At 36.0% G+C, this 13,030-nt stretch overlaps 1 long non-coding RNA gene across 1 annotated transcript in view; it reads left to right on the forward strand.

The window, feature by feature from the left end:
- LOC101927960 (uncharacterized) overlaps positions 1 to 13,030 on the forward strand; it is a 282,946-nt gene that overhangs the window by 113,777 nt on the left and 156,139 nt on the right. The window contains exon 3 of the long non-coding RNA NR_136588.1: positions 408 to 571. This is a non-coding gene — a long non-coding RNA (uncharacterized LOC101927960). The remainder of the gene's footprint in view (positions 1 to 407; positions 572 to 13,030) is intronic.

The following is a 13,030-nucleotide window of genomic DNA, read 5'->3' on the forward strand; positions in this document are numbered from 1 at the left end:
TTATGATTAAAATGCCTGCGTGCTACATGTGCTTATAAGCTCGTTAGGAAAACTTTTCTAGGATACCAGCTTATTCACTGGCTTCTGAGTATTCCATATCAATAATACCCCACCTGGGTGACTAAATCTTTCAGAAGAAAAAATGCATTTAAAGAGATGTAATATAGTATTTGAAAAGATAATCTTCAAAGATGAAGTTCATGCCAAAATACTAATTATTATTTTACTTTGAAAGTAATTACAGCAGTCTGTCGTTACTCTTTTCTCATAGAAAATAAAGGCAAATTAGAAAATACATATTTATAATTAAAAATAATTAATCTTTTATTAATAAAGCATTTCTTTGTCTTTGTCACTTTCCCCAGATATTTAAAGCTAACACATGTTATTTTTGTTTCTTTTGCTAGCTATGCTATTAGGATTTAATTAAATGGATGCCAACAGCAAGTAAACCATCTCCAAAGATGCCATGAAGCTCTCCTAATTGCAGGAAAATATCAGAGGCACTTGATTTGAGTCTTTCAAGTACGGAAATAACAAATTCAGTCTCAACAGACCTATAGTGAATGAGGTGAGTCATTTTTTTTTTTTTAAACTGAAAAGCTCTGTTTTCAGAAAAATTTGGAGTGGCAAAGAGTTTCAATTGATCCAAGGAAGATAGTACTTTTATTCCCCCAAAGCATCTCTCTTAAACTGTCAGGCTTTGACATAGATGCTTATTATTAGATCACTTCTACAAATAGTGTAGACATTGACTATAATAAAATGTAATATTTGGCTTCCTATAAATTATATTCAAGAGTTTAGTGGTATACCTGGTATTTTTTAGAGGTGATCTCCAATGATTTTGGGACTCAATCCTTCAATTGGAATTCATGTGAAATTCTACTTTTCGTTTCTTGTACAAAATATATTTTAAAAATCCTTCATTTAAAAAGATAAATGCAGTGTGAAAGGAACTAAACAAATCTGAGGTTGGTTTGGTAATAGATGCACAAGTGCTTCTCATTTTAAGTAGATTTTTGTACGTCATGCATTTTGAATAACAAGTTGTGGACCACTGGGCCAGCAGACATTAGAAAAGAAATCCAAATGGAATTAGATGTATTCATTGTTTGTGAGTACCTCCCAAAGGAATGGAAAAGGCACAGACCTTGCAGACACAGAATGGATAAGACAATAGGATAAGGACACCAAGGCAGCAGGAATGATTCTAGGAGTGTATGCCAGAGATCCCCTTAGAGGGCAGTGTAGGGCACAATGCCACATAAGGCTTTACACTGTCTCAAGTGAGGGCGTGACAATGGACATGGGTTCAGCACATTACTGTTTATATTTTTCCTACACAATCAGCTCTTCAGTCATCAGGGAAAACTACATTGTATTTTCCATTTGGGGAAGAAACTTACATTTTTGGCTAAAAGGAACATTTTCATTTTTAAAGTTGATTCATCTGCTAATTTGGCAAATAGTGATGCAACAGAGAAGACATATTTGTTGTGTGTAAGTGTGTGAGAGAATTGGTACGCAGGAAGTGGGTTCCATTAATGCAGCAGCTATCATTAAATAAGTAATTTTAAAAATACAAATTTCAAATACTAGAAAGGAAACCAATTTGATAGTCATAAATCAGAAGCAGTCATATCTAGTGCTGAGTGAGATGCTGAGGGTGATGCCAAAACCAGAGTGACCCAAGGTGAATTTTATCAGTTCTTTATAATAGACTATTAAAATAGAGACCATGGCATTTTAAAGACACTATGACTCTTTAAATCCAAAATAAACACAAGAATTATGTTTGAAATTACAAATTTATGCTCACCTTCATATCTCAGACATATTTTAGATGAACATAATGAGGTTAAAGATTCTGGATTATATCAGCATAAAGAAAAATCATCTTTTTCTCAATTTTGTTGACATTTAATGTACATAGCATAAAATGCGCAAAATATAAGTGTACTGATTGATGGATTTTACAAATGCATACACTCATCTAAAACAACGACCAAGATATAGAACGTTTCCACCGTCATAGAAAGTTCCCCCATGCCTTTTTCTAGTTAATCTCCTCCTTCCACCCTCAGGAATCATCTCTCTGATTTCTATTACCATGGATCAGTTTTGTGTATTCTAAAATGTCAGATAATGAAGTCATATAGTATGCATTATTTTGGGTCCTTTTTTAGGTTAACATAATGTTTTAGAGATTCAACCATATGTTTATTTTAGTAATACATTTCTTTTTATTGCTGAGAAGTATTCTAACAATATATGTGGTATAGGTGAATATATCACAATTTATTTATTTTCCTGTTGTTGGATATTTTAGATTGTTTCCAGTTTTGGCTATGGTGAGTGCAGTGGCAATGAATATCTTTGTATAATTCATTTTCAACATAAGTGTATGTTTTCTTTTACAAGAAACTCAAGTAGTTTTCAAAAGTGAATTGCCACTGGTATTCTTACAAGTGATATATGAGGTCTGTTCACTCTAAAGACTCACCATTTGGTATTTTCAGTCTTTTTAGTATAATCAATTCTAGTGGGTATGTAGTGGTATCTCACTGTGGTTTTATTTTGCATTATAATTTAGAAGACTAAGTTTATTAAGCAACTGTTTATGTGCTAATAGCCAATCTGACTATCTTCTTTTGTGAAATGTATGTTTAATATTTTTATTCACTTTATAAGCAGAGTTGTTAAAGTTCTTAATTTTGGTGAAGTCTACTTTATTTATTTTTATTTATGGCTATGCTTTTTGTGGCCTGAAAAATCTGCCCACTTCAAGGTTACAAAGACATTCTCTTATGTTTTCTTCTGTATGATTTATAGATTTCCTTATGTTTAATGTTTTTAATACACATCAAATTAATTTTTGTGTATCATGGGAGGTTCAATTACTTTTTATTATTTTAAAAATAAGAATATAAAGTTATCCCAATACCATTCGTTAAAAATACTTTCTTTGCTGTTGTATTTCATGGTAATATTGTTGAAAATATGTTGTACATTGCTGAAAATATTTTGATCAAATATGACTGTGTCTATTGGTTCCATCGATCTGTCTGTCTATCTTTATATTGATACCTCACTGATTTAACCTTATGGTAAGTCTGAATCTCTGGAAACATAAGTATTCCAACTTTGTTCCCTCTTAAAGATAGTTTTGGCTATTCGAGGTCATTTCAATTTCAACATAAAATTTATAATCAGCTTTTCAACTTCTATTAAAAAATCTGTTGGGATTTTCTCTCTTTTTCTTTTTTTTAATTATACTTTAAGTACTGGGGTACATGTGCAGAACATGCAGGTTTGTTACATAGGTACACACGTGCCATGGTGGTTTGCTGCACCCGTCAACCCATTATCTACATTAGGTATTTCTCCTAATGCTATCCCTCCCATAGCTCTCCATTCCCCGACAGGCCCCAGTGTGTGATGTTCCCCTCCCTGTGTCCATGTGTTTTCATTGTTAAACTCCCACTTATGAGTGAGAACATGAGGTGTTTGGTTTTCTGTCCTTGTGTTAGTTTGCTGAGAATGATGGTTTCCAGCTTTATATATGTCCCTGCAAAGGACATGAACTCATCCTTTTTTATGGCTGCATAGTATTCAATGGTGTATATGTGCCACATTTTCTTTATCCAGTCTACCATTGATGGGCATTTATGTTGGTTCCAAGTCTTTGCTATTGTGAACAGTGCCACAATAAACATACGTGTGTATGTGTCTTTATAGTAGAATGATTTATAATCATTTGGGTATATACCCAGTAATGGGATTGCTAGGTCAAATGGTATTTCTGGTTCTAGATCCTTGAGGAATCACCACACTGTCTTCCACAATGGTTGAACTAATTTACACTCCCAACAGTGTAAAAGTGTTCCTATTTCTCCACATCCTCTCCAGCATCTGTTATTTCCTGACTTTTTAATGATTACCATTCTAACTGGCATAAGATGATATCTCATTGTGGTTTTGATTTGCATTTCTCTAATGACCAAAGATGATGAGCTTTTTTTCATGTTTGTTGGCTGCATAAGACGGCGATGCATGTATAGATCAATTTGGGGAGAATTATTATCTTAACAATATGAAGTCTTCAAATCTAAGAACATGGCATAGCACTCTATTTAATTATATCCATACTTTCTCTCAACAATATCTTTCATATTTTCTTTAAATTTATTATATATTTGTGCTTGTTAATGAAAATGTTTTTATTTTAATTTTATTTTATAATTGTTTCTAGTAGTATATGGGAAGATACTTTTTGTATATTAATCTTGTTTCCTACAACTTTGTTAAGTCAATTTTGGTTTTAGTATGTGTCTTAGGATTTTGTATGCACAGGACAATGTTGCATGACCATATTGTCTACAAATATACTGTTTTTACTGTATCCTTTTCAAATCTTATATCTTTTCTTCTTTTTCTTTTTTGTTCTTTTTTTAAAAATCATATTTCACTGACTGATAAAATATTGTATAGAAATGGGCAGAAAGAATATTCTTGTCTTGTACTCTTAGGGGGAAGCATTCATTAATTCACCATTATGAATAATAATGATGTTAGCAATAGGTCTTTGTAGATGATACTTATTGGAATGAGGAAGATTTTTCTATCCCTAGTTTGCTGAGAATTTTTTCGTGAATAAGTTGGATTGTTTCAAGTGCCTTTTCCACATTTCTTGAGATGATTTTTGAAAAATTTCTTATCATGGTGAGTTGCATTTATTTTATTTCAAATGTTAAACTAACCTTGCATTGCAGGGATAAACGCTACGTGGTAATGACGTATTATTCTTTTTATATATTACTGGGTTTAATTTGCTGATGGTTGATTGAGTAAGATTGCATTCCTGAGGTTTATTGTGCCACTAGGTTATAGTGGCCTCATTAAACAGATTGATAAATGTAATTTCACTACTTTCATAAGGAGTATTTGTATAGAATTGATTATTTATTCCCTAAATTTTTGATAGAATTCACTAGTAAAATCATCTTGGTTTGGAGTTCTCCTTGTGTGAAAATTTTGGTTATGAATTCAATTTCCTAAAGACAAAGAGCTATTTATATTTTCCTTTTTTAAAAAAACATAACTTGTGTCTATCAAAGACCTTGTTCATTTTCTTCCAGTTGTTAAATGTATTAGCATAAATTTGTTTATAATATTCCTTTATTATCCCTTTACTATTTGTGGACTCTACAGTGATGCTTCCTTCTTCTTTCTCTATATTTGTAATTTTCTGTAAGGTGTGGTATGAGAACCTACTGATGTGGTTGACCTTTCCTATTAAGAGCTAGCATTTCCCTTGTGTGGCCTTTTCATTGTAAAGCATTAGGAGGCCCCTTCAGGATCTGCCCAGACTTAGCTGCCCCCATAAAGGAAGAGAGGAATGAAAATACAAATGAACTAACAAATAAATGTTAGCCAGTATATACTAGCACAAGCTAAGGGAGTACCTGTAGGATTGGATATTTTTGTTGATTAATTAAGGAAGCTGAAACATAGGACTGATAAAGGATAACAGACAGAGAGCCAAATCATGAGTGAACTCCCATTCACAATTGCTTCAAAGAGAATAAAATACCTAGGAATACAACTTACAAGGGATGTGAAGGACCTCTTCAAGGAGAACTACAAACCACTGCTCAGTGAAATAAAAGAGGATACAAACAAATGGAAGAACATTCCATGCTCACTGGTAGGAAGAATCAATATCATGAAAATGGCCATACTGCCCAAGGTAATTTATAGATTCAATGCCATCCCCATCAAGCTACCAATGACTTTCTTCACAGAATTGGAAAAAACTACTTTAAAGTTCATGTGGAACCAAAAAAGAGCCTGCATCGCCAAGTCAATCCTAAGCCAAAAGAACAAAGCTGGAGGCATCAAGCTACCTGACTTCAAACTATGCTACAAGGCTACAGTCACCAAAACAGCATGGTACTGGTACCAAAACAGAGATATAGATCAATGGAATAGAACAGAACCCTCAGAAATAACACCACATATCTATAACTATCTGATCTTTGACAAACCTGAGAAAAACAAGCAATGGGGAAAGGATTCCCTATTTAATAAATGGTGCTGGGAAAACTGGCTAGGCATATGTAGAAAGCTGAAACTGGATCCCTTCCTTACACCTTATACAAAAATTAATTCAAGATGGATTAAAGACTTAAACATTAGACCTAAAACCATAAAATCCCTAGAAGAAAACCTAGGCATTACCATTCAGGACATAGGCATGGGCAAGGACTTCATGTCTAAAACACCAAAAGCAATGGCAACAAAAGCCAAAATTGACAAATGGGATCTAATTAAACTAAAGAGCTTCTGCACAGCAAAAGAAACTACCATCAGAGTGAACAGGCAACCTACAAAATGGGAGAAAATTTTCACAACCTACTCATCTGACAAAGGGCTAATATCCAGAATCTACTGAACTCAAACACATTTACAAGAAAAAAATAAACAACCCCATCAGAAAGTGGGCGAAGGACATGAACAGACACTTCTAAAAAGAAGACATTTATGCAGCCAAAAAACACGTGAAAAAATGCTCACCATCACTGGCCATCAGAGAAATGCAAATCAAAACCACAATGAGATACCATCTCACACCAGTTAGAATGGCAATCATTAAAAAGTCAGGAAACAACAGGTGCTGGAGAGGATGTGGAGAAATAGGAACACTTTGACACTGTTGGTGGGACTGTAAACTAGTTCAACCCTTGTGGAAGTCAGTATGGCAATTCCTCAGGGATCTAGAACTAGAAATACCATTTGACCCAGCCATCCCATTACTGGGTATATACTCAAAGGACTATAAATCATGCTGCTATAAAGACACATGCACACGTATGTTTATTGTGGCACTATTCACAATAGCAAAGACTTGGAACCATGACAAATGTCCAACAATGATAGACTGGATTAAGAAAATGTGGCACATATACACCATGGAATACTATGCAGCCATAAAAAATGATGAGTTCATGTCCTTTGTAGGGACATGGATGAAATTGGAAATCATCATTCTTAGTAAACTATTGCAAGAACAAAAAACCAAACACCACATATTCTCACTCATAGGTGGGAATTGAACAATGAGAACACATGGACACAGGAAGGGGAACATCACACTCTGGGGCCTGTTGTGAGGTGGGGAGAGGGGGGAGGGATAGCTTTAGGAGATATACCGAATGCTAAATGGCGAGTTAATGGGTGCAGCACACAAGCATGGCACATGTGTACATATGTAACTAACCTGCACATTGTGCACATGTACCCTAAAACTTAAAGTATAATAATAATAAAATTTAAAAAATGAAAAATAAGAAAAAAAAGAAAAGAAAAGACTGATAAAGGGAGACTTTATGGGCTTGAAGGCATTTTCCCAGGATGTAATATTGAATATCTTGCAAATATCTCAGTAGATGGTTCCACCTTACTGCTAGGGTGGTTCCTGGAAGGCTGCATAAAGTGAGGACTCCTTCAGAGTGGTGTTGCAATTGCTTCAATTGCTATAGCAGAAAGTGATGGAAAGAATAAAAGGGTCAGGTAAGGGAGCATGCTGAAGTGGATATATTACATGAGAACCAAAGACACACTCCAGTGTTATATTACACAGAAAGACCCAGAAGACATACCATTAACCAAAGCCATCAAGAAAGCACTGGCAAGAGAAGCATCAGCAACATCAGTGGTGGCTTTTCAGGTCAGGACTGATGATATGAGAAAATACACAGAGCTTGGCTTATTACTGACAATGGGTACAATGAGACCCCACACCAGGACAGGAGGGGTAGTGGCTCTCAACTGCCCTAATTTGGGGTGTATGCATCATTGTAATAACCAGTAAGATCAGTGTGGCACACAAGGAAGCTTGACCTTCAGAGAAATGTGGAAATGGTTAATAGAACACAGCCTCCATAGAAGAAACAGATGGGAAGCCAATAAGGGTACTGCTTAACTTATGTAATCAAAAGAAAATCAGAATAGATGAACAGATGGGTGAGGGCAGTTGCTCTTATTTTAAAAATTACAATATTTTTGTCAGTTTTCAGCCTGGAATCAGTTGAGAAAGAGGTTGGTTGGTCCCCAGGACAAAGGGTCTCACAACACCATGATGTGTATACTGTGTGATCCTCATCTTTTCCCAAAAATAGTAAAACATGCTAATTATACTTATTTCTTATTCCTGTTTTCTGTTGATAAATTCCATAAGGAATCTGAGGAGTAGGTTATGGTTTAGGAGTCTCTAAAATTGGCTCTCCACTAACAATTAAGCACTCAGAATTCAAATTCCAGTGAGTCTAGAAAGCCTCACTACCTCCTGTCTATATTTTCCCCATTTCTCATTGAGCCAGGTATGCACACTGTACCTTAGAAATAGCTTAGGGTCTTACCCAGCTCTCCTTAGTTAATAAAAATACCATGTTCTGAGAACATCTTTGATTCTATTTACTACAATATTGAAAAAAGTGTCTGTTACATCAAGTGTCTAACACTGGTGTCATAGTTTTATTAGGCTGTTTTAATAATTCTTTTCAAATAACCTCAAATATCTCTTATTACTTTGATAAAAATCTTGTTACAAAATAGTAATAAATGGCAAAATTGACAACATTTCTCCCCACTTAGAACACTATTTTATTTCTTGGTATATATTTCTTATTCTCTACCTTCCTGTATACAAGAAAATGTGTAATAATCTTATAGATATTAAACATTGAAGGACATGATGGGCTATCAATCAGCTGCTAGGAAAAACTAAGAACAGATAATATGACAGGTTCGCAGCATTTAGACATATCTTATCACAAGGTCAGAAGGGAATCTTATGACAGAAGTAAATATTGTAAGTTACCATGTGCTAATCCTCAAGCAGAAAGTTAATTCCTGAGGACATGGCATTGTGGGCTGCTATGAGTGCTTCTGACTACCTATAAGGTTACGATTAGTGGAGAAGTTGAAGTTAAGGGTATTAATCGATGTACTTACAACATGTCCCTTGTATACTTTTGTAACATTACCAAGAGCATTGCGAGCAGCCTCCTTATGACATTTTATTAGAAGTCTGTGCTTTTATTCCTCCAGACTTTCCCAATCTCATCAGTCAGTCAGCTCTTAAGCATAGTAAGACTTAATAACAATGTACTCCATTTTTTTCTGTGAAATTATGTTTTCAAGTCCTTAATTCTTAGAGCTCTGATACTCATTATTTTAAATTTTCATTGTATTTAGAACATATGCAAATACAGATTGTAAATCTGTAATTGCATATCTGGTGAGATTTGGTTTTGGCTCCCATCTTCCACTGGAAATGCAATGGTCATGGACATTTCCAAGTCTGCCTGTGAGCTGATGCATGACTCTTATCACTGCCTGTCTCACTCGTTTATATTCATTTATTATGAAGACAACTATAATACTCTATGCCAAGATAGCAAGAATGGTTGTGTCCCAGCTAAGGATTTCTTTTTATTTTACGTAATTGGATGTCTTCATTCATTTATGCTGTTATAACATAATACTATGGATGGGGTAATTTATACACAACAGGAATTTGCTCGTAGTTCTGGAGGCTGGGAAGTTCAAGTTCAAGATGCTGGCATTCAGTGTCCAGTGAGAGCCTTTTTGCTGTATCCTCACAAAGAGAAGGCAAAAGAGATAAATGCTGTGTTTTTACACAGCCAAAGAGCAAAAGAGCAAGCTAACTAAATGCTGTGTGAAGTCTGTTTTATAAGGGCCTTAATCCCATTAATGAGGAAGGAGCCCTTGTGGTCTAATCACCTCTTAAATGTTCTACCTCTTAATATCACCATATTGGAAACTTGAATTTTGAAAAGGACACGTTCAAATCATGGCACTCCACTTTTCAAAATCTCTGTGATGGCAAGACAGTAACAACAATGATTTTCTCCTTTGTATCTCCTTCATCCTACCTTATTTGCTATGGTACTCAGGTACTTTTGCCTTGTCAGTCTTAAATAAGTTTGGCTTATGGCCTTGGACAATAATGTTTATATATTTATTTTTAAATTCATTGACTTTACTGTTCAAAAAATTTCTATTTTTTTCTAACACTTAATTGTGTCTTCAAAGCAAAATTATTAAACCTCCTTTCAATACCATTCTAGAGGGACAGGAGATTTCCTTTTATAATATTTCATCTTTAAAACACACCAGGATATTTATCTCAATATATTTACTTTCCCCCAGTGCAGACAGTATTTGCATTTAAGAGTAATCATCAACATAAAGCAGTTTTGATGCTAAAGAAGCCATGGCATTTAAAACAGACTGTTTTTATTTTTATTTTTATTTTATTGTTTTTAGAGAGGGAGTCTCACTCTGTCACCCAGGCTGGAGTGCATTGGCGCGATCTTGGCTCACTGCAACCTCCGCCTCCTGGCTTCAAATGATTCTCCTGCCTCAGCCTCTCAAGTAGCTGAGATTACAGGCTCCTGCCACCATGCCCAGCTAATTTTTGTATTTTAGTAGAGACAGGGTTTCACCATGTTGGTCAGGCTGGTCTCAAACTCCTGACCTCAAATGATCTGCCCACCTCGGCCTCCCGAAGTGGTGGGATTACAGGTGTGAGCCACCGTGTCTGGCCAAAACAGACTATTTCTACTTAACTCTGTAGAAGCCAAATTCTCTTCCAATTCAGTCTTCAACTTTCCAAATCCGTGCCTGTACACCCAGCAGCACAAAATCATACCTTCTTCCAAGCCACCAAGTCAAAGACGTAAAATAAAAAATCACGTTGAATATGTGGACTGTGTGCTGGAGGCAGATTCAATCTTGTCAACATTGACTAGAGCAGGATTCTCCGTGTGCTGCCTGCATAATCAATAACACGTTTAGGTACATATATTAGGTAGATAAAATGAAGGAGAAGAAAATGGCTAAATTAAGGAAGAAAGCCATATTGTAAAACTAGTAATGACTTTTCCATTGGATTGGTAATTTCTGTTTTATCAAAGATACACTGCTGAACAAGACCATTTCAGCTTCCTTTCTAGTCTAATGGGGAAAAAATGTAATAGAAGGTTCGTAGCTACTATTAAGAATGTATTGGCAACCCTCTCGTTTGCAAGTAGCCAAAGCCTGATTTACATCAGCTTAAGCAAAGAAAGAAATTTATTAACATATATAAGTGAAAAGTTCAAAGGATGCAGCAATTCAGGAATGACTGGATCTTAGGGTTCAATGCTATTAAGGCTATATGTCTTCATCTTTCAGCTTCCAACTCTGCCACATCTGTGTTTATGTCATTCTCAAGCAGGCTCCCTCCACAGAGGCAAAGGAGACCACCTTTAGCTCTAGGCCCACACATTAATTGTTTAGCAACTTCAGGGATAATAGAGATCCCACTCTGATAGGTCTGGCAGAAAACACAAAGCGAGAGTCTGTTCTATTTGGTCTGGATTGGGTTGTACCCACACCCATGGTGGGAGGACAGGGTTAGCCCATTCTGACTGCTTACAATGCCCACAAAAAGGGGGAGTCTGTTACCAAAATAATGGAAAAGGAATGTTGGCCTGGAAAAGCCAATGGATAGCTCTACAAATGCCCAGCTCTACTACTTTGAACTATGCCTATTTTTTTTTTTTTGGTGGATGAAATTTTACTTTGTTGTTTCCACATTGGGAATACACAACTTGAACAACTGATGCCACAGAAACCAGCTCCAGCCTTAAAGAACAGTAGAGATAGAGTTGCTGTGCTTGGTGGAATGAAAACAAGGCTGGAGCATCCTTGCCATTCTCTGTGCAGGTGTAACTGTATAGACTTCTGTCCCATTGCATTATAATTTCTGCTAACAATGTGTCTTCCTCCCTAGGCCAAGAACTTCTTCAAAGTAGGGAATTTGGAGATTCATCTCTGTATTGTGAGTGTTTAGCCCAGTGTCTGACACTGTGTAGGTACTTACATGTCTGTTGAATAAATATACAGATGGCAAACTAAATGATTTTAAGATGCAGAGTTTATTAGCATCAGTACCGTAACCAAAATCAGAGGAAGAGGCCCTGTTAGTCTTGTTCCAGAATTTGTGACTCAAATATTTTAGTATAAATGCTTTCATTATTATTGTTGTTGTTGTAAATAACCATAGAAAGCCCTTAAATTTGTATAATACTTTGCCATTTTCGTTATCACTTTGACCTTACAACAATCATGTAAGCCTCTCAGAGTAGTTATTATAATCCCTATACTGCAGGTATGGTATCGTGTGTTTAGGACAGATTCCTAGGGATGTGCAGCTAGTAAGTGTTCAAGCTAGTACAGAAAGTTAGTTTTGTTCTACTAGCTGGGCATGGTGACTCATGACTGTAATTCCAGCATTTTGGGAGGCTGTGATGGGCGCATAACTTGAGGTCAGGAGTTCGAGACCAGCCTGTCCAACATAGTGAAACCCTGTCTGTACTAAAAATACAAAACTTAGGCATGGTGGCAGGTGCCTGTAACTCCAGCTGCTTGGGAAGCTGAGGCAGGAAAATTGCTTGAATCCAGAAGGTAGAGGTTTCAGCGAGCCGAGATTGCACCATTGCACTCCAGCATGGGCAACAGAGTGAGACTCTGTCTCAAAAAAAACAACCAAACAAACAAAAAAAAAAGAAAGTCTTATTCTATAGTGGGGTGAGTTCCCCCCTGCCCATGGTTCTTTATTATGAGTAGTACATGGGTTTTCCCCCATGGTTGTTCTTTATTTAGAGTACTGTATGGCGGCATGAAATCTCAGGACACCTAAAGATAAAGAACATCCTGAAAGAGAGGCAGATCTGAAAAAGAGGGCAGGTGGGGACAGCAAAGTCACAATGCCATCAACTTAAGCTGTATATTAAGGGAGAAAACATACAGATTCCCTAGACTGAAGACAAGGTTTAACAGGCTGCTATTGCTATCCACGTGACCACGGACAAATCAATCACAGAAACCTGTTTTCAAGATCTCCTATGACGAAGTACATTGAGATCTTTTCATATTGCTATGGTCTGAAAATCAT

This window comes from Homo sapiens, chromosome 2 (assembly GCF_000001405.40).
Source record: "Homo sapiens chromosome 2, GRCh38.p14 Primary Assembly".
NCBI lineage: Eukaryota > Metazoa > Chordata > Mammalia > Primates > Hominidae > Homo > Homo sapiens.